The 22,769-nt window shown below is 40.9% G+C and overlaps 1 protein-coding gene and 1 pseudogene across 1 annotated transcript in view, besides 1 other annotated feature; both read right to left on the bottom strand.

Moving 5' to 3' along the window:
- Positions 2,106-2,211, bottom strand: RNU6-1245P (RNA, U6 small nuclear 1245, pseudogene; annotated as a pseudogene).
- The window catches only part of STX12 (syntaxin 12), a 51,225-nt gene continuing 30,761 nt past the window's right edge, over positions 2,306-22,769 (bottom strand). The window contains exons 5-9 of the mRNA NM_177424.3: positions 16,460-16,503; positions 14,481-14,586; positions 8,826-8,898; positions 7,017-7,099; positions 2,306-4,518 (exon numbers count right to left, since the gene is read on the bottom strand). Of these exons, the coding sequence (NP_803173.1) occupies positions 4,420-4,518; positions 7,017-7,099; positions 8,826-8,898; positions 14,481-14,586; positions 16,460-16,503 (405 nt within the window). The 3' untranslated portion in view covers positions 2,306-4,419. The remainder of the gene's footprint in view (positions 4,519-7,016; positions 7,100-8,825; positions 8,899-14,480; positions 14,587-16,459; positions 16,504-22,769) is intronic.
- Positions 19,035-19,558: an enhancer, noted in NCBI's record as "NANOG hESC enhancer chr1:28133702-28134225 (GRCh37/hg19 assembly coordinates)". NCBI's record gives its function as "activates a minimal SCP1, AML or CMV promoter by ChIP-STARR-seq in naive H9 embryonic stem cells {active_cell/tissue: H9 hESC(naive)}" and the evidence as "EXISTENCE:reporter gene assay evidence [ECO:0000049][PMID:30033119]".

Raw genomic sequence — 22,769 nt, 5'->3', positions numbered from 1 at the left:
ACCAAAAGCAAAAGCTGAGTTCCCATGACTGAGGACAGTCTCTGAATAGAAAAAAAAAAAACAAAAACACTTAATAGAGGTGGCTCAGAATGTTTTACTTTGCATAGACTGAACAGTAATTTCATTTTGATATTTTGCACTGCGGTGGGTGAACCCTCCCATCCCTACCCCTTAGCAAAACACACACACACACACACACACACACACACACACACACACACTCCCCTGGGAGTATCTGTCTAGCATCTAGCAAGTTCTTATTCTGGAACATTCCCAGATTAAGTAGCCACAGTAACATTTCTACTTTACCTTATACCTTATACAGTATCATAGTTTTTTATTTTTCTTTTTTCTTTTTTTTTTTTTTTTTTTTTTTGAGACAGAGCCTCTGTTGCCCAGGCTGGAGTGCAGTGGTGCTATCTTGGCTCAATGCAACCCCCCACCTCCTGGGTTCAAGCAAAGCTCATGCCTCAGCCTCCTGAGTAGCTGAGATTACAGGCGTGCGCCACCATGCCTGGCTAATTTTTATAATTTTAGTAGAGGCAGAGTTTCACCATGTTGTCCAGGCTGGTCTTGAACTCCTGGCCTCAAGTGATCCACCCGCCTCGGCCTCTCAAAGTGCTGGGATTATAGCCGTGAGCCACTGCGCCCAGCCCATAGTTTTATTAATAACTCATTGGAAGAGAGAATGCTAGATCTACCCAGTACTGCTAGGATATTTCATAAAGGAAGTAGAAAAGGGGATGATGGCTCACGCCTGTAATCCCAGCACTTTGGGAAGCCGAGGCAGGTGGATCACGAGGCCAGGAGATCAAGACCATCCTAACAAACACGGTGAAACCCTGCCTCTACTAAAAATACAAAAAATTAGCTGGGCATGGTGGCGGACGCCTGTAGTCCCAGCTACTCGGGAGGCTGAGGCAGGAGAATGGCGTGAACCCAGGAGGTGGAGCTTGCAGTGAGCCGAGTCACGCCACTGCACTCCAGCTTGGGCAACAGAGCGAGACTCCATCTCAAAAAAAAAAAAAAAAAAAAAAAAAAAAAGAAAAGGAGATGAGAAAATGAAAGGAAGATAGAGGTAAAAATACAATTTGTATGTTCACACTAAACTGCCGTGGGTCCTTATAATCAGAAAATTTCGTAGCTGGAAAAGAGCTACCAAGAAAACTTGGGGCCTAAAGGTTAAGTTACTTTTTCTTTTTTCCCCCGAGACAAGAGTCTTGCTCTGTTGCCCAGACCTAGAGTGCAGTGGCATGATCTTGGCTTACTGCAACCTCCACCTCCTGGGTTCAAGCAATTCTCTTGCCTCAGCCTCCCAAGTAGCTGGGATTACAGGTGTGTGCCACTATGCCTGGCTAATTTTTGTATTTTTAGTAGAGATGGGGTTTCACCATGTTGGCCAGACTGGTCTTTAACTTCTGACCTCGTGATCCACCCGCCTCAGCCTCCCAAAGTGCTGGGATTACAGGCATGAGCCACCGCGCCCAGCCATAAGTGACTTTTTCAAATACCCTCAGCAAGTTAACGGCACAGCTAAGGTCTTTTGTACCCCAGTCTAGTTTCTGACATCCAAACCAATGCTTCTCAACCACAGTTACAGGTAAGAATTACCTGGGGCCTTTAAAAATCCCTATGCCCAAGCTATATATACTCCAGACTAAATTAAAATCTTGGAGTTGTGGGACTGAGGTATCAGTATTTATTTTTTATTTTTTAGCAAGAAGAGGAGCACAGAGAATATTTTTTTAAAAATATAGAGCACTTCGGCCAGGCGCCAGTGGCTCAGGCCTGTAATTGCAGCACTTTGGGAAGCCGAGGTGGGCGGATCACTTGAGGTCAGGAGTTCCAGACCAGCCTGGCTAACATGGTACAACCCCATCTCTACTAAAAATATATTTTAAAAAATGAGTCAGGCATTGTGGTGAGCACCTGTAATCCCAGATACTTGGGAGGCTGAAGCATGAGAATTGCTTGAACCCAGGAGGTGGAGGTTGCAGTGAGCTGAGATTGTGCCACGGCACTCCAGCCTGGGCGACAGCGTGAAACCCTGTCTCAAAAAAAAAAAAAAAAAAAAAAGTATATATATACATACACACAGAGAGAGAGACAGAGAGAGAGAATTCATGAATTTGCAAGTCATCCTGGTGCAGGGGCCATGCTAATCTTCTCTCTATTGTTCCCATTTTATATACGTGCTGCCAAAGTGGGCACTGTATTTTTTTAGTTTCTAATGTGAAGCCATGTTAAAAACTGCTGTCCTAGATTGTGATGCTCCCAATGATAATCAAGGCACAGATAAGGAGAATTCTGTGAATAGGTTTATTAAGACCACCTAGGAGAACCTCTTTGGCAACTACCACAAATTCTAGGCCATTTAAAATCCAGGCCAAGTTCATATTTGCTCTCCATGATCACCATTACAACAACCACAGGTCACACAGTATTACAGAACAAAAGCATGGTCACTTTATTTTACCCAAATGCAAATCGTTTTTCACAACCAAGACTTTTTTCTTTCCTACAATGTTACAAATGATGTATCCAAGTCCGACTGTAATTTGGAGTTAAACAGGGATCATAGAACCAAGGAATTATCTCTGAAGCTGCTCTTTGGGCCACTGTGCCACCCCAACAGCTCTATCCTGTTGTTCTTTTTTTTAATTAAAAAATCATTAAAAAAAAAATGGAGATGGGGTCTTGCTATACTGCCCAGGCTGATCTTGAACTCTTGGGCTCAGACGTACCGATATACTGATCCTCCCGCCTCAGCCTTCCAAAGTGTTGGGATTACAAGTGTGAGCCATTGCACTCAGCCATCTCTACACACTGTTTTTCAAGGAAAGGCAGCTACACCTATTCCGTCTCCAAACCAACCCTCACCTGGTGTCCAGTTTTCTTGGAAGTCTCAATTTTTCTCATGACAGCACATTACCTAATACCTACCACATTAGGATGTTAACTCATAAAAACATACTACAAAAGCTTTAAAAAACATTTATTTGTATTAAGTAAGTGCAACAGTGCAAAGAAACTTATGCATTTGGGCCCTTGCTTCCCTACTGTTCACATTAGTTTAGTTTAGAAGATTAAGTATAATAACAGAAGGAGAACAGAAGAAATGAATATAAATATACTCAGGGTAGCCAAATCCTCTAATTCACTAAAGGATGAACCAAAGTTGTTGGCCAGATTCACATTTATGTGGGAGCCTAAACAAATTATGTTCCCTTTAACTGTTCTAGGCCTGTGGAAAAGGGAAGTGGACAACATTTATATTACAAGACAGTAATTTTATTGAAACATCTTTTTTTGTCTAAAACTATGCATGGAGATATTAATCTCTTGTTTATAAATTAGGTTAAGTCTAACATCACTATTTGAAACCAGTGTTATTTACAAAAATGAACCTCTTCTTTGCTTTATTGTTGGTTTACAGGAATAATTTTAAACCAACCTCAATCTATCTTTAAAAATCTTCCTGCCTTCAAATGCCCAGCAACCCTTATAAGGTAGGGGGCAGCCCTTTGACAGCAACATTCATCATTCACCAGGAATGTAGAACCACAAGTGAACAACAACAACAACAACAACAAGATTAAATCATTCCCAACAATTCCTATTTGCTTTTCCAAAGCATGCTATGTCTAATTCTGCCTTTCTATGCAGACAGGTGGGAGAGGGAGCCCATAGAGTATATTAATGTTAATTAAATTAACTTCCTTTAAAAGCTAACAGGATGGCTTAGTGTGGATGAGGATGAACTGCTGTGGATGACACTAGCAGATAATGAAGTAAACTTTAAACCCAGATTAGTAACATGTACTCCAGTAACTGACCAGCTCAGATAGAGACTTCTCATTTACTCTGGATCACATGTACAATATTTTACCTTCCAATTAAATATAGTGCCAAAATCTTTCAAAATAGATAGAGAATAGGCTTCTTAGAAATTCAAATAAAAATGTTAAATAATAAAAACTGGTGGCCTATTATAGAGTTTCTGACAGACTCCAATATACTGGGTACCAGAAAGTAACTCTATCTCAGATGCTAGTAAAAAGGTAAATTTTGTATATACATAAAAGACAATATTACGAGACTGTAGTGTCATTTGTCAAAACAAGAATATCTAGAATGGAATTTTCAGTAAACACTTGGGATGAAGGGCAATCAGAATACAAGAGGAAGCAAAATCCACATAAGTTAATTCCTAATTTGAGAAATCAATAGAATCAATAAATTGATAATTACTGTCTCCATAGGTCACGAATTCCAAAGACTAGTTAGTAGTTAGTTTCTAACTAAATGATTACAGGACGTTCTGATATATGCTGTCTTCTTGTGATCAGTTTGTTCTGGCAAGACTTCAACAAGCACTTGCCCTTGAAAACAGCTCAGCGGGAGAACGATCGGAGGCAATCACTTCGTTTTATAAACTAGCCAGATAATAAGTCCCAAGATTAGAATAATCACTGACAGGACAAGCACCAGGATACACATCTTCTTGCGAGATTTTTTCTGAGGAAAGAAATATGTAAACAAGATACTCATGAAACAAGTAAAATTTGTATGTGTAAGACTCTAAGAATGCTTCATAAATCTGCCTCCTTGTAATTAAAGATTAACTCTATCCATGCAAAATTATGCACAGACTTTCCCAGAAATCTTAAGTCAGCAGCACTAGGTAGTAGTGCAAGTGTTTTTTGTTTGTTTGGTGTTTTTTTTTTTCTTGAGACAGAGTCTCACTCCGTCACCCAGGCTGGAGTGCCGTGGTGCGATCTTGGCTAACTGAAACCTCCACCTTCCAGGTTCAAGTGATTCTAATGTCTCAGCCTCCTGAGCAGCTGGAATTACAGGCGTGTGCCACTATGCCCAGCTAGTTTTTGTATTTTTAGTAGAGACGGGGTTTCACCAGTGTTGGCCAGGCTGATCTCGAACTCCTGACCTCAAGTGATCTACCTGCCTCGGCTTCCCAAAGGGCTGGGATTACAGGCGTGGGCCACCGCACCCAGCCGAGTAGTATAGGTTTCAAAGTTTTAATTCCAAGTCCCCACATACAATTTTGCAAAGGAACTATACCTGTGCTGCCAGGCATTATTTGCAATAAAATAAGTTATTTGTGCATGTGTATTTTAATAACATTTTATAATACGTATAAAACTGTTATGTTCATTGTAAAAAAAAAAATACAGCAAGCGGAGGGAGAAAAAAAAATCACCCATAGATAATACCGTCAACATTTTTGTATTTCTTTCTGATTTGTTATCTATGTATATTATTTGACATAACTGGATCACATTGTATGATGTTTGATGTTTTTCCTCACTTAATGTTTAGTATAAACATTTTTCTGTTTAAACTCTTCAGAAACATCTCTTAATTCCCATATGCAACAATGAGTGGATGTATATAATTTACTTAATTATTCCTTTACTGTTGGACACTAAATTAATCACCTAGTTTTTAAAGGAAACACTATTATTAAATACGAATTTCTTTACGAGCACTCCCAGGTAAAATACAGCTATCCCAGGAACACGGAAAACAACTGAAATGCTATTTCTTCTTTTTTTTTTTTTTAATTATACGTTAAGTTTTAGGGTACATGTGCACAATGTGCAGGTTAGTTACATATGTATACATGTGCCATGCTGGTGTGCTGCACCCACTAACTCGTCATCTAGCATTAGGTATATCTCCCAATGCTATCCCTCCCCCCACCCCACAACAGTCCCCAGAGTGTGATGTTCCCCTTCCTGTGTCCATGTGTTCTCATTGTTCAATTCCCACCTATGAGTGAGAATATGCAGTGTTTGGTTTTTTGTTCTTGCAATAGTTTACTGAGAATGATGATTTCCAATTTCATCCATGTCCCTACAAAGGACACGAACTCATCGTTTTTTATGGCTGCATAGTATTCCATGGTGTATATGTGCCACATTTTCTTAATCCAGTCTATCACTGTTGGACATTTGGGTTGGTTCCAAGTCTTTGCTATTGTGAATAATGCCGCAATAAACATACGTGTGCATGTGTCTTTATAGCAGCATGATTTATAGTCCTTTGGGTATATACCCAGTAATGGGATGGCTGGGTCAAATGGTATTTCTAGTTCTAGATCCCTGAGGAATCGCCACACTGATTACCATTCAGGACATAGGATGGGCAAGGACTTCATGTCTAAAACACCAAAAGCAATGGCAACAAAAGCCAAAACTGACAAATGGGATCTAATTAAACTAAAGAGCTTCTGCACAGCAAAAGAAACTACCATCAGAGTGAACAGGCAACCTATAAAATGGGAGAAGATTTTCGCAACCTGCTCATCTGACAAAGGGCTAACATCCAGAATCTACAATGAACTCAAACAAATTTACAAGAAAAAAACAAACAACCCCATCAAAAAGTGGGCGAAGGACATGAAATGCTATTTATTTCTAAAAAGCCATGCAACACCAAATTGAAGGGAAGTGAGAAAGACTTCATTCACATTATTTGTACACTGAGATAAAGACTTGGATAAGTAAAAAAACCAGAGTTTCAACTAACATGTAGAAGGATTTCACTTTACAGGAACAGTTCCAGAATGATTATCCTTATTTATTCATATATAAATAGCAGTCGAAGTTGATTCTATGTCCATCCTCTATGGCAACACTCAACATAAAGAATCTATGAAGTCTTCTACTTTAACTGTACTTCTTACTATCCTAATTGAAATACATTCAGCTGTTCGGGATATAAAACAGCCTCATAGCAGATTTAGGTATCATATTAGTGTATAGGGTTAGCTTTGCAGTTACTAGCCTTCTGATAAGTTTATTCAAGGTGTGATTATTTTTTGTAGATCTATCTGCAAAGGAAAATAATAAAAATGGAACTGGGACTGCAATTATGACTACTTTCCTTTAGCTTAAACCTAAGCAAAGGCTGTAGCTGTTCTCAATATGTCAATGTACTCTGATGGCCTAAAAAGTCTGCAACACAGAGTGACTTTCTTTGGTACCCGCTTTTACCTGATAGTAAGCAGCTCGCTGTAACTGTTCAGTGGCTCTTTCGACGTGCACCTCTGAGCTTTCCACATTGGCTTCTATGCTATCTGCAAAAGGAAGGACAGAGGATGTTTTAACACACTCAGATGTTTTAAGACTGCAAATTGAACAGATTTCTGATGTTACATGTCCTGGTTTCACTACCACTATCCAAACTATCCAGCCATGAAATCGAGTTACTACCTTGGTAAGAGACTAGCCTTTTCTTTGGAGAAAAAACAATGAATTTTTGGGGGCTATGAAGTATTTAACTTACCCATAAATGATTCATAAAAAATTATGTAGATACACATAGAGAAAGAGAGAAAGAATACATAATAAAGCAAATGGGGTAGAATGTTAACAAGAGGTAAATCTGGGTAAAGGGTATAAAGAAGGTCCTTATAATATTTTTATTTTTGCTACCTTTTTTTTTTTTTTTTTTTTAAGAGACGGGATCTCACTCTGTCACCTAGACTGGAGTGCAGTGGTACAATAATAGTTCACCGTAGCCTCCAACTCCTGGGTTCAAGTGATCTTCCCACCTCAGCCTCCTGAGTAGCTAGGACTACAGGTGCATGTTACTATGCCTGGCTAATTTTTTGGTAAAGACAGGGTCTTACTATGTTGCCTAGGCTAGTCTTGAACTCCTGGCTTCAAGTGATCCTCCCACCTCAGCCTCCCAAAGTGCTGGGATTACAAGCGTGAGCAACCATGCCCAGCCTATTTTTGCAACTTTTAATAAACTCGAAATTATTTCCACATAGAAAGCTTTAAAAAAAAGAGTTACTGGCCAGGCGTGGTGGCTCACGCCTGTAATCCCACCACCTGGGAGGCCAAGGCGGGCAGATCACCTGAGGTCGAGAGTTCAAGACCAGCCTGACCAACATGGAGAAACCCCGTCTCTACTAAAACTACAAAATTAGCGGGCGTGGTGGCACATGCTTGTAATCCCAGCTACTCGGGAGGCTGAGGCAGCAGAATTGTTTGAACCCAGGAGGCGGAGGTTGTGGTGAGCCAAGATCGCACCATCGCACTCCAGCCTGGGCAACAACAGCAAAACTCCGTCTCAAAAAAAAAAAAAGGGTTACTAACCCCATAATTTTGCAAGTTTGTTGAGATAAAAGCTGGGAAGCTGAGAGCTATTTCTCTAAACAAAGATGTACAAAGAAGTCAATGGGACTGAGTATTCATGAGGCCTCATTTAACTTCTACATTTGATAACATAAAAAAATTGCTACGAAAAATAAATTTGGTAATTTTTAAAACGGCATTCCTAAACATACTTTAACTCTATAGCTGATATGACTAACTCCATTTTTTTTTTTTTTTTAATTGAGACGAAGTCTCATTCTGTCACCCAGGCTGGAATACAGTGGCGCAATCTCGGCTCACTGCAACCTCCACCTCCTGGGTTCAAGGGATTCTCCTGCCTCAGCCTCCCGAGTAGCTGGGACTACAGGTGCATGCCACCAGGCGTAGCTAATTTTTTGTATTTTTAGTAGAGACGGGTTTCACCGTGTGAGCCAGGATGGTCTCCATCTCCTGACCTCATGATCTGCCCGCTTGGGCTTCCCAAAGTGCTGGGATTACAGGCCTGAGCCACCACGCCTAGCCTAACTCCTTTTTCTTTCTTTCTTTCTTTTTTAAGAGACAAATTCTCATTATGTTGCCCAGGTTGGCTTCAAACTCCTAGATGGTGCTTCAGCCTCAGCCTTCTGAGTAGCTGGGATTACAGATGCATGCCAAATACTATCAACTCACCTTGAGGTTAAAGGTATCAATAATACATACCAATCAGATCACCCTGGTCATGGATCATCATGGCCAAATCTTTAAATATCTGATTGACATCCAAAATGTCAGCCTAAGGAAGACAAAAAACAATTAACTAACATTAAGCAACATGTTAGAAGATTTGTTTCCCTCACGTACCTAAAGTTTTAGCTATTAACACGTGTGTTTTTAAGGCTCTACAAAGCATGCTTTCTCCATAAACAGAAAATAATCTATTGCTGCCTACCCAATATTGTAAAACAGAAGGCACATAAACTCACTCTTCAAGCAACATTAATGGGACATGCTACATGAGAACCAGTAAGAGCGCCCAAGTCCAAACAGTACAGCAGAAGGCTGGAGTGCTGATATAGACAAATTCTTGGTGTGATAGCCCTATGTGGAGACTGCTAGGCCTTGTGACAAAAGCCTGTTGAGTGCCTCCCGATGACAACCACTGGGACTTTGGACTACAGAATTTAAATGTTTATACAAGATCATGCTATCTGAGGAATGCAAGGAGGAGCTACAAGTAAGGAGCCTCTTTTCCCCTGGGATTGACTCTGGAACTGTGTGAGGAGTTGCTGGATTCTGTCATCACTGGACAATGCCCTATGGTAACTCCCAACTGACTGACAAAAAGCTGATGGTCTGTGGATAGCAGTTCCAAAGTGAATGGACTACAACCTATTTACTGCTCTGATCAAAGAAGGTAAACACAAATCAGCTCAGTGGGCTGAACTGCAGCTTGTTTTCCTAACAGCAGTGGAAGAATTTAACATTGGCAAAATCCCCTATATTTGGGTCTTTCTCCCTCCCTCCCTCCTTCTCTCCCTCCCTTTCTTTTTTCTTCCTTTTCTTTCCTTCCTTCTTTCCTTCCTTCCTTCCTCCCTCCCTCTCTTTCCTTCCTTCTCTCTCTCTCCCTTCCCTTTCCTTTCCTTCCTCCCTCCCCTTCCTTCCTTTTTTCCCTCCCTCCCTTCCTTCTTTCTCCTCTCTCTTTCCTTCCTTTCTCTTTCTTTTTTTTTTGAGACAGAGTCTTGCTCTGTCACCCAGGCTGGAGTGCAGTGGCACAATCTCGTCTCACTGCAACCTCCACCTCCCGGATTCAAGCAATTCACCTGCCTCAGCCTCCTGAGTAGCTGGGATTACAGGCCCATGCCACCACGCCCGGATAATTTTTTATTTTTAGTAGAGACGGGGTTTCACCATGTTGGCCAGGCTGGTCTTGAACTCCTGACATCGTGATCCACTGCCTTGGCCTCCCAAAGTGCTGGGATTACAGGCATGAGTCACTGTGCCTGGCCTCCCTCCCTCCCTCCCTTCTCTCTCTATCCCTCCCTCCCTCCCTTCCTTCCTGATCCGCCTGCCTCGGCCTCCCAAAATGCTGGGATTACAGGCATGATCCACCGCGCCCAGCCTCCGTCCCTTCTTTCTTTTTATTTATTTTTATTTATTACTTGTTTTTTTTGAGACAGAGTCTTGCTCTGTCATCCAGGCTGGAGTGCAGTGGCACAATCTCAACTCCCTGCAACCTCCATCCCCTGGGTTTGAGTGATTCTCCTGCCTCATCCTCCCCAGTAGATGGGATTACAGTCGTGCACCACCACGCCCGGCTATTTTTTTTTTCTGAGGTAGAGTTTCACTCTTGTTGCTAGGCTGGAGTGCAATGGTGCAATCTCGGCTCACTGCAACTTCCGCCTCCTGGGTTCAAGCAATTCTCCTGCCTCAGCCTCCCAGGTACCTGGGATTACAGGATGTACCACCATGCCTGGCTAATTCTTTATATTTAGTAGAGATGGGGTTTCACCATGTTGGTCAGGCTGGTCTCGAACTCCTGACCTCAGGTGATCCACCCACTTTGGCCTCCCAAAGTGCTGGGATTACAGGCGTGAGCTTGTACTGTGCCCGGCCCTAATTTTTGTATTTTTAGTAGAGACAGAGTTTCACCACATTGGCCAGGCTGGTCTCGAATTCCTGACCTCAACTGATCCGCCTGCCTCGGCCTCCCAAAGTGCTGGGATTACAGGTGTGAACCACCACGTCTGGCCTATATTTGAGTTTTTCTGACTCATGATCAGGCAGAAGAAAGACAATGGAAACCTGTCTTATTAAAGGGGTGCTCATATGGGGCATGACCCTATGGAAATTTGAGGGCAATTCCCTTCCAGGTTTGAAGGGTTATTGGAATCATAACCTGGCAAGCATTTCAATCACTTGCTAAGAGTCTACTATAGTGGACTATCTGCTAAAGCAAGTCTTGTCAGCATTTCAATCACTTGCTAAGAGTCTACCATAGTTGGGGTAGTCTGCTAGTTGCTGTGAATACAGCTAACTGGGGTGGACGTGGGGAATAAGTGCACAATAAAATAAATAAGAAGGAAGAGTACTATATAGGAAATGGCTGAATTAATGGTATAGAAAGGTGTGGAGAAAAGGAAGACTCTGCAGAAGAGGTAAGACATGAGTTGTGCCTTAAAGCAAAGGAGAGGTCATATGAACAGAAAGGCAACTCAGTTAAAGAGCAAATAACCTAGCTTTGCCATAACATAGAATGTGTATGTCAGAGTTTGGAAATTACTAGATACGAAAATTGAACCTAGGCTAAGGAATTTGGACTTTCCTCTGTTGAATATGAAATGATCCATTATACCCTGGCATCCATTACATTTCTTTCCTTAGCTCCATATGTCTCACTCCACTTTGCTATAACGGTACATTCGTCCCTTGGTATCCGTGGGGGATTGGTTCCAGGACTCCCTCCCTCTAAGTCACTGATATAAAATGGCATAGTATTTGCATATAACTTGTGCCCATTCTCTCCTATATTCTAAATCATCTCTATATTACTTATATAATGTTACATTACTATTTTATACTACATTACTATTTTACATAGCACTTACATTGTATTAGTAATGTACTGAACTAATACAATGTGTTATATAAAATACTGTTACACTGTATTGGTTTTTACATTTGTATTATTTTTTATTGTTGTATTATTTTTTAGTTTTTTTTAAATATTTTCACTCCACGGTTGCTTGAGTCTGAGGATGTGAAACCTAAATATATCGAGGGCCAACTGTATTTTTTTTTTTTTTTTTGAGACAGAGTCTCGCTCTGTTGCCAGGCTGGAGTGCAATTGCTCACTGCAACCTCCGCCTCCCAGGTTCAAGCACTTCTCCTGCCTCAGCCTCCCCAGTAGCTGGAATTACAGGCATGCACCACCACACCCGGCTAATTTTTTGTGTTTTTAGTAGACACGGGGTTTTACCATGTTGGTCAGGCTGGTCTTGAACTCCAGACCTCAGGTGAGCCACTCGCCTCAGCCTCCCAAAGTGCTGGGATTACAGGCATGAGCCACCGCGCCCGGCTAGTAATTTTTCTTTGAAGGAAGGATTATTATTATTATTTGAGACAGAGTCTTGCTCTGTTGCCCAGGCTGGATTGCAGTGGCACGATCATGGCTCACTGCAGCCTTGATCTCCTGGGCTCAAGTGATCTTCTGCCTCAGGCTCCTGAGTAGCTGGGACCACAGGTACATGTTACAGCACCCGGTTAATTTTTTATTTTTTGTAGAGGTAAGGTCTTGCTACACTGCCCAGGCTGTCTTGAATTCCTGGGCTCAAGCAATCATCCTGCCTCAGCCTCCAACTTGCCGGGATTACAGGCATGAGCCATTGCACTTAGCCATATTTCTAATGTTAGACAATTAATTCAATTAGTAGTAGCAGTAGGTGAAAAAGAGTAAAGATATGACATTTTTGAAGGCAATAAAATAATCATAACTTAAGGATAAACTATCCCATCTAAAAACAGACAAGACCAGCCTGGCCAAAATGGCAAAACCTCGTCTCTACTAAAAATACAAAAATTAGCCAGGAGTGGTGGCGGGCACCTATAATCTTTGCTACTCAGGAGGCTGAGGCAGGAGAATCGCTTGAACCCAGGAAGTGGAGGTTGCAGTGAGCCAAGAACGCGCCACTGCACTCCTGCCTGGGTGACAGAGTAAGACTCTGACTCAAAAAATAAATAATAAATAGATAAAAACAGACATTGATGGCCTTTAGGGCAGTGGGTCTCAACCCTGGCTGCATATTATAATCACCTGGGGGAACTTTTTAAAAAAATACCCATGCCCAGGGCCTCACGCCCAGAAATTATGATTTATTAGTTTGAACCATATAAAATAATGGATATTTGCCCATTTTTAACATATAATAAACAGGAATTTCACATTATCCCATCAGGTAATTAGTGGTGGATGAGAGCTGGGGCATTAAAAAAAAATCTTCTCCAGGTGATCCTCATGTGCACTCACAGTTCAGAACCACTGCTACAGATGGAGGCCAAGGAAGAGCTCAAAATTTCCCTCTCTCCTTTTCTCCTCCCCTGATCCCAGCAATGGCAGCCTTCTACCTTCGGAGAAAACTAAACTGGAGAAAACTCAGGTTTAAGGATATTTTAGCTGGGCACAGTGGTTCATGCCAGTAATCCCAGCACTTTGGGAGGCTGAAGCAGGCAGATCACTTGAGGTCAGAAGTTCAAGACCAGCCTGGCCAAAATGGCAAAACCCTGTCTCTACTAAAAATACAAAAATTAGCCGAGTGTGGTGGTGCGTACTGGTAGTCTCGGCTATTCAGGAGGCTGAGGCAGGAGAATCACTTGAACCCAGGAGAGGGAGGCTGCAGTAAGCTGAGATAGTGTCATTGCACTCCTGCCTGGGCGACAGAGCAAGACTTAGTCTCGGAAAAAAAAAAAAAAGGATATTTTATTAGTCACTGTGCAAAATTAAAGTTGAAAGCTCAGTTAGGTAAGAAAGGCCTACAGACTTCTCCCTCAACCTCCACCTCAAAAACTGTTCCTATTTCTCTGACTCACTGAAGGGATAAGATGTACAACTTGGGATTAGACTTTAGGATATACAAAAATGGAGCAAGACTTTTGGCCTGCCTTTATTCTGGGCTCTTCAGACTAAGCAAAGGGGCTCTCCATGGAGTCCTGCCTAACCCGGAGGTTGGCATTGAGATTTGAGGTCAAAGTTCTAATGAGCAATAAAATATCTGTCTGCCTTGTTCTGTTCTCCATGTACATTTCTCCAGGAGAAATAAGATGTGGTGATCCGTATAAGATGTGGTGATTGAGGAAAGGATTTGAGTACTCCTGGGCACCAAGGCCAATGCCATTATAACAGTAGTTCATGCCAGGAGCGGTGACTCACGCCTGTAATCCCAGCACTTTGGGAGGCCGATGAGGGTGGATCACCTGAGGTCGTGAGTTCAAGACCAGCCTGACCAACATGGAGAAACCCCGTCTCTACTAAAAATACAAAATTAGCTGGGCGTGGTGGCACATGCCTGTAATCCCAGCTACTCGAGAGTCTGAGGCAGGAGAATCGCTCGAACCCAGGAGGCAGAGGTTGCAGTGAGCCAAGATCACACCACTGCACTCCAGCCTGGGCAACAAGAGCGAAATTCCATCCAAGATAAAAAAAAAAACAAAAAAAACCGGTAGTTCAAACCCACCATGATTACACTGAGACAGAAAAAATACAAATCACACAATGACACATTTTATGCCTTTTCATAATCACTAAGAGAATTAAAGTGAACTAAGGAGTTCAGATACCTGCAGACACACTGAGTCAAACAAAAAACATGACGTGGCTCTCACCTCCAGCTGCCGAATTGCCGTTTCTCTTTCTTTAATAAGTTCCAAATCCTGCTCAGTGATGGCCACCTCATCCTCCTGGCTCTGCATCTGGTTCCACTCCTCATGGCTGCAGGGAAACAGGCACACTAGGTGATTTCTCCTCTCAAAGGCATAACAAGACATATCTCCAACATCTCTACTGCCAGCAGAACCTATGCAAAGACATTACCAGGGCTCCAGTCCTCTGCTATCAATAAAGTCTTGGAGGGCCACATTCTTCATATCCAGAAGCAAAGAGCTGATGATATCAGGAAAACAAAGACTCAGCTTCCATGGGCAAAGCTGACATGTGGCAGAATTATGACGGATGGGACTCCTGGCTGTTTCCATTTAGGGGTATACTCTGTAATCTCACTGGGGCTTGCCAGACAAGGAAAGTAGCCAGAGATTTGAACTCATTGAATTATGTTGCACCATCATCTTCCAGGGCACTCTCAAAGTGCAAGCTGCATTAGTACCTTCAGTACTAAGTGGGTGGAGAAGAGCAAGCTAAGTGACCTATCAGTGCTTTGCCAGTTAGTTCAACAGAATCACATCTCCTAGTTTTCCAAAATTTCCTTGGGGTTATGCTTTGGGTTAAATACCTCTTAACAGGCCAGGCGCGGTGGCTCATGCCTGTAATCCTAGCACTTTGGGAGGCCGAGGCAGGAGGACTGCTTGAGGCCAGGAGTTCAAGACCAACCTGGCTAACATAGCAAAACCCTCATCTCTATTAAAAAACAATCCATAAAAAACCCTCTTAACAGAAAGCTAGTGAAATGTTATAACACTTTTTAAAAAATTCTTTTTAGAAATGGGGGTCTTGCTTTGTTGCCCAGGCTGGTCTCAAACTCCTGGCTTTAAGCTATCCTCCTGCCTCAACCTGCCAAAGTGCTGTGATTACAGGCTTGAGCCACCATGCCTGGCTTTTTTTTTTTTTTTTGAGACGGAGTTTCGCTCTTTCATCCAGGCCGGAGTGAAGTGGCGCTTACTTCACTCCGCCCCCCGGGTTCAAGAGATTCTCCTGCCTCAGCCTCGAGAGTAGTGGGGATTATAGGCACCTGCCTCTACACTCAGCTCATTTTTGTATTTTAGTAGAGATGGGGTTTCACCATGTTGGCCAGGCTGGTCTCGAACTCCTGACCTCAGGTGATCCACCCGCCTCGGCCTCCCAAAGTGCTGGGATTACAGGCTTGAGCCACCATGCCCCAACGCCTCTTTATTTTCAAGCATTTAAAAGGAAAACATATTACTTATTATACTAGATATAAAACACTTTGAAATTTTCCATTATTATGTGTTTTCCCATCAGTATCATAAATCATACTTCACCCCTACAATGTTTAAATAACGTCCTCTTCGTGCTAGAGATACAAAACTAAGTAAGACAGAGTCCCCAAGCCTTTGAGGTGCTCATAGTGTAGTGGGGAGGGATGGATGTGTATCTATGCTAAAACATATCAAGTTCTGAACTAATACCACAAATACACTTCCATGTGATTAGTTTGGAGAAGTTAAGAACATCATTCAGATACAAATTGTCTGGTTTCCCTCTTAATACTCCTAGAAGGATGAGTTGCTTCCATTTTATAAATGAGTAGAGACCCAAGAACTCTGATGGGTTTAAATCTGCATTAGAGGTAAGATGACTTAGACTTCCTAATCTGTAGACATGTAGGTTCATACTTATTCCTAGGGAGTCAAGCTCTCTGCTTAACACATAGACATCAATGGTTTCTTGGAAGTTTTTATTCACCTTGAAATTACTCCTTCCAATAACTCAAAGAGCTTGGAAAAGCCCATGGTTTTGCCTTTTTAATTTTATTCTGTGGATTATGTTATCCACTCCAGGTGCCCCCTTATTTTTGCCCTCTATTTTTTCATTGATTTTTAAAATTAAAATATAACGAGATAGATTCCCATCTCAACTATCCAGCAGGTTGTATGAATAATTCTATTACCTGTCAAATGAGACCAGCTGCTCCTCTCTTTGCCTCTCTTCTGCCTAGAAAGTAGATGGTATTATTGCTGCTGTCATCCAGAAACACATCACAGACACACAAAACAAGGGCTTCCTTAGCACAGTATAAAGAAGCAACATCCTTTGACACCCACAGAATCTGTAAGATTACATAGGACTCTGGCAATCTGTCTCAACTAAGAAGTGGGTGTAAAGTGGTTGAAGAAAATCTGCATTCCAGTTTGAGTCCTGAACAGAAACCATACTGAACAGGGTGGAGAATAATATGCGTAGGAGAAAGGGCTAAAAATAAAAATAACAACAATAAAATATTTTAAAATTTAGGGGGAGGTAGATAAACTTGCAAGAATACAAAATTTCAGAACATGTAAAAATTTTTTAAATGGACATAGCACAGTAGGCACTAAAGCAGATTCACTTCAAAAATCAGTCTAATGTAAATGGTGTTACCTTTTTTTCTCCTAAGGTTTTTTTGATTTTTACTGATGTGTGGTCAAAAGTATATGAGATCTGGCCGGGCGCAGTGGCTCACGCCTGTAATCCCAGCACTTTGGGAGGCTGAGGTGGGCAGATCACAAGGTCAGGAGTTCAAGACCAGCCTGGCCAATATGGTGAAACCCCGTCTCTACTAAAAATACAAAAAAAATTAGCTGGACGTGGTGGCGGGCACCTGTAGTCCCAGCTACTCAGGAGGCTAAGGTAGGAGAATTGAATCAGGGAGGCGGAGGCTGCAGTAAGCTGAGATTGCGCCACTGCACTCCAGCCTGGACAACAGAGCAAGACTCCATCTCAAAAAAAAAAAAAAAAAAGAGTATATGAGATCTTTGAGAACGTTGCTAATCAATCTATTATCAATATATATTAAACTCTGGAGAGATGGGATTTGGCATAAACACACATAAACTAACCTTTCTTTTCTTTTCTTTTTTTTTTTTTGAGATGGAATCTTACTCTGGTCCCGAGGCTGGATCGAGTGGCACGATCTCGGCTGCACTACCACCTCTGCCTCCCAGGTTCAAGCGATTCTTCTGCCTCAGCCTCCTGAGTAGCTGGGACTACAGGTGCACGCCACCACGCCCAGCTAATTTTTGTATTTTTAGTAGAGACGGGGTTTCACCATATTGGCCAGGCTGCTCTCAAACTCCTGACCTCGTGATCCGCCTGCCTCGGCCTCCCAAAGTGTTGGGATTACAGGCGTGAGCCACAGCGCCCAGCCCACTAACCTTTATTTTCAAGAAGGCTGCTTCAAATCGTGGCAGATTTTGATTTAACAGAACTTATTGGGAACTATTATTCTGTATATTATTTTGTTTAATTCTTACAATAACTCTGATTTATCATAGTCTCCTCTTTGGCATATAATAACGTTTTTGAAAAATAGTCTTTCCAATGGTAATTTATCTAATACTATTGAATTAAGAAAGTTAGGCAAGCATATAGTGCTACTTTAAAAGAGAATTCACCAGGATTTTTGGCATTTGGTGAAAGACTAGCAATCGAATCTTTCAGGTGTTACTGTTTGATGAGGAAAAAGTATGCTTTATAATCAAGCTGTAAGAATAAATATCATTATTATTAAAAAATCAGTCTAATGGATGTATTACTTTTATAATTTAAAAACAGGCTGGGTGCGGTGGCTCATGCCTGTAATCCCAATCCCAGCACTTTGAGAGGCCGAGGTGGGCAGATCACTTTGAGGTCAGGAGTTTGTGACCAGCCTGGCCAACATGGTGAAACCCCGTCTCTACTAAAATACAAAAATTAGCCAGGCATGGTGGTGGGTGCCTGTAATCCCAGCTACTCGAGAGGCTAAGGCAGGAGAATTGCTTGAACCTAGAAGGCAGAGGTTGCAGTGAGCCAAGATCGTGCCACTGCACTACAGCCTGAGTGACAGAGTGAGACTCCCTCTCAGAATAAATAAATAAATAAATAAATAAATAAATAAATAAATAAATAAAAAACAAAGCAAAAATGGTAAAAATCAATGTATTTTCATTTTTAAAAAGCTTACCCTTTTTATAATAGCAATACAGGACAAGCAAAATGAAAAGAATTTCAAATTTCTATCCACTCAGAGGAACACTGTGGGTTTTTGGTTTGTTTTTTTCTTTTTACTTTATCTTTTTCCCCAGATCAAGAAATAACATTGCCAGAGTCCTAAAAGCCTACTCATGTGCCCTTCTCCAATCACAACTCCATCCCTCCCTTTTAAAGTATCTATTATCTTGACTTTGTGAAAATCATTTTCTTGCATTTTAAGAATAGTGAGCTATATTCTTATTCAATATCATTTTGCCTGTTTTTGAACTTTACATAAATGGAATTATACTGTTTATATTCTTTAGTGCTTTTTTTGAATCATTCCAGATTATGCCAGATCCATCTCTGATACTGAATGTAACTGTGGTTCAATCATTTTCTTTGCTGTATGATATTATAGTATATGAACATAACACAATTTATCCATTCTACAGTTGACAGACATCTGGATGTTTCCAATTTTTGACTACTACAAACAATGCTGCTATGCACATTCTTGTACATACATCCTGGTATAACACATACAGGTTTCTCTAGGGTAGAATTGCTGGATCACAAGGTCTGCATGTGTTCTGAAGATACAGCCAAAATGTTTTCCAAAGTAGTTGTTCTAACTTATACCACCGGCCAGATAAAAAAGTTCCTGTTGCATCATATCCATAATGACAACTCCCAGTGTTCACAGAATTTTAAACTTCTGCCCTCCTGGTGGGCATGAAATAGTATTTCATTGTTATTTTAATCTGTAATTTCACCATTACTAAAGAAGCTGAGTACCTTTTCATTTGTTTGACCATTACTCAAAATAATACTAACGTGTTTATTTGCTCCATGAGTGTAAATATCAACAGGACGGAGCAAAAGCAATGGTGGGGGACTGGTGGCGGGGAAGTGGGGATGGTTAATGGGCACAAAAAATAGGAAGAATGAATAGGACCTAGTATTTGATAGCACAAATGGGTGACTATCGTCAATAATAATTTAATTATATATTCAAAAATAACTAAAAGAGTATAATTGAATTGTCTGTAACATAAAGGATAAATGCTTGAGGGGATAGACACCCCATTTACCATGGTGTAATTATTACACATTACATGACTATATGAAAGTATCTCATGTACCTCATAAATATATACACCTACCATGTGCCCACAAAAATTAAAAATTAAAAAAAGGCAATGGTAGTGATATGGTTTGGCTCTATGTCCCCACTCAAATCTCGTCTCGAATTGTAATCCCAACGTGCGAAGGGAGGGACCTGGTGGGAAGTGATTGGATCATGGGGGTGTTAGTGTTCACGTGTTAGTGAGGGAGTTCTCATGAGATCCGGTTGTTTGGTAAGTGTCTGGTATTTCCCCTGCACTCTCTTTCTCTTTCTCCTGCCACCATGTAAGACATGCCTTGCCTCCCCTTAGCTTTCTACCATGGTTGTAAGTTTCCTGAGGCCTATCCAGCCACGCAGAACTGTGAGTCAATTAAACCTCTTTTATTTATAAAGTATCCAGTCTCAGGTAGTATCTTTATAGCAGTGTGAAAATGGACTAATACAGATAGATAAAATGGCTGAAGGCAGTGGCACCGAATTGCACTAGTATTATTGTATTCTTCATCACCACACACTCACCGTATTTTAAAAGCCAATGTATTCTTGAAGCCATACAAATTATTAATTAAACCTTGACCCCTCAATACATATCTTTCTACTATTCTGTATTGTGAAATGGGAAGTGCACATAAAGTACTTCTGCTGCATAAAGAAATACAATGTCTGTCTCTAGGAAAAGCACTTGTGTAATGGAACTGCAGGCTGAACTAGCCACTTTTTTTAGGGAATACCATTTTTACTTATTCAATATAGTTTTATAAGAACTTACTAAAAACTTATTTAAAAGCTTTAAAACTTTCATAAACGTATACATATAAACTTTTCAGATGGGTATTTGGCAGACAACTTGTTGAAAAGAAGTATGAGCCTGTCACTTCAAGGAAAACAACAGAGGGTGTTTGTTGCCAATGACAAAAATGTAGCTTTCAAGTAAAAATAAAAATAAAATTTCGGAAGACTTGTATCTACCATTGTAAGAGTTTCCCAATATTTAAATACTTTTCTGGTGAAACTGATGGAAATATGTATTTTTTTATATTGTAAAATGAAATGTATCGACATTTGGAAGAGCTGCATAACTCAGGGAACCAATACTATCCAAATGATAAATACATGATGCTATAAAAATCATGCATGGATAAAAGATCCAATCAAAGTATAATATAGACCAACAGATGTTAATGTAACAGAGTATGAAGTCATTATAATGGTTTTAGATTGTACAATGCAACTAACTTTTGTCAAGTTTTGATGTAGTATCAAAGAAGAGTATCAACAAGGTTATAAAAATATTCCTTTTCCAATTGTATATTTCTGCTAGCTTGGATTTTCTTCAGATACTTCAACCAGAACAATCTATCATAATAGACTGAATACAGAAGCAGATATAATCCTAGACGAAAAAAGCTGAGAGAGTTCATCACCACTACACCTGCCTCACAAGAAGTGCTAAAGGGAGTTCTTCAAGCTGAATGAAAAGCATAATAATTAGTAACATGAAAACATATGAAAGTATAACATTCACTGGTAAAAGTAAGTAAATAGTCAAATTCAGAATATTCTAATACTGTAATGGTGTTATATAAATCATTTACATCTTTAGTATGGAGGTTAAAAAACAAAAGCAGCTATGAAAATCTAGCTGCCTTCTGGTAAGCCAGACATTAAAATAAAAAAAATTTGCAAAAATGAAAATAATGCTACTCTGCCCACTAATTTTTTTTCTTGGAAACACAATTTTTTAAAATGAAAAATCTAATTTAATTCCTTCTTTCCCCATGTGCATAAAAAATCTAATTTATATTCATGTTAATATGTAATAAGTGTATTATTTGTAAATGAATAAACAAACATCTAAAATTTTTCTCAGTTTTAATTTCTAATACAGTATACATCAATAGATATGACTCATATAAACAAAACTTCTTTGGGGTCTGATATGGTTTGGCTCTGTGTCCCCACCCAAATCTCACCTTGAATTGTAATAATCCCCACGTGTCAAGGGCGAGACCAGATGGACAAAACTGAAGCATGGGGACAGTTTTCCCCTTGTTGTTCTCGTGATAGTGACTGAGTTCTCACAACATCTGATGGTTTTATAAGGGGCTTTCCCCTTCTCTCCGCACTCATTCTCTCTCCTGCGGTCCTGTGAAGAGGTGTCTTCTACCATGACTGTAAGTTTCCTGAGGCCTCCCAGACATGTGGAAATGTGAGTCAACAAAACCCCTTTCCTATATAAATTAAATACTTCAATATAAATTAAAGTAAATTACCCAGTCTCTGGCAGTTCTTTCTTCCTTTTTTTTTTTTTGAGATGGAGTCTCACTCTGTTGCCCAGGCTGGAGTGCAGCGGTGCGGTCTCAGCTCATGGCAATCTCCGCCTCCCGGGTTGAAGCGAGTCTCCTGCCTCAGCGTCCTGAGTAGCTGGGATTATAGGCACCTGCCACCATGCCCGGCTAATTTTTTATATTTTTAGTAGCGATGGGGTTTCACCATGTTGGCCAGGCTGGTCTTGAACTCCTGACCCTGTGATCTGCCCGCCTCAGCCTCCCAAAGTGCTGGGATTACAGGCGTGAGCCACCACGCCCAGCTTCGGGCAGTTCTTTATAGCAGAGTGAGAACAGACTAATACAGGTCCTTAGTAATTTTTTTTTTTTTTAAGATTCAAGAAGATAACTTAATGATATTTTTTTTTGAGACGGAATTTCACTCTTTTTGCCCAGGCTGGAGTGCAATGGTGCAATCTCGGCTCACTGCAACCTCCACCTCCCAGGTTCAAGTGATTCTCCTGCCTCAGCCTCCCAAGTAGCTGGGATTACAGGCATGCGCCACCATGCGCGGCTAATTTTGTATTTTTTAATAGAGACAGGGTTTCTCCATGTTGGCCAGGCTGGTCTTGAACTCCTGACCTCAGGTGATCCACCCGCCTCGGCCTCCCAAAGTGCTGGGATTACAGGCATGAGCCACTGCGCCCGGCCACAGAATTTAATGATTTTTAAGAGTGTAATGGGTTCCTGAGATTAAAAAGTTTGACAACTTTTGTTCTATTGAGTTGTATCTTTCTTTTTCATATTGATTCATGGGAATTCTGGGGTTTTTTTTGTTTTGTTTTTTGTTTTTTGAGATACAATCTTGTTGTGTC

This window comes from Homo sapiens, chromosome 1, assembly GCF_000001405.40.
Source record: "Homo sapiens chromosome 1, GRCh38.p14 Primary Assembly".
NCBI classification, from domain to species: Eukaryota; Metazoa; Chordata; class Mammalia; order Primates; family Hominidae; genus Homo; species Homo sapiens.
Note: the sequence above shows the minus strand (reverse complement) of the source record. Positions and strands in the feature narration are given on the sequence as shown.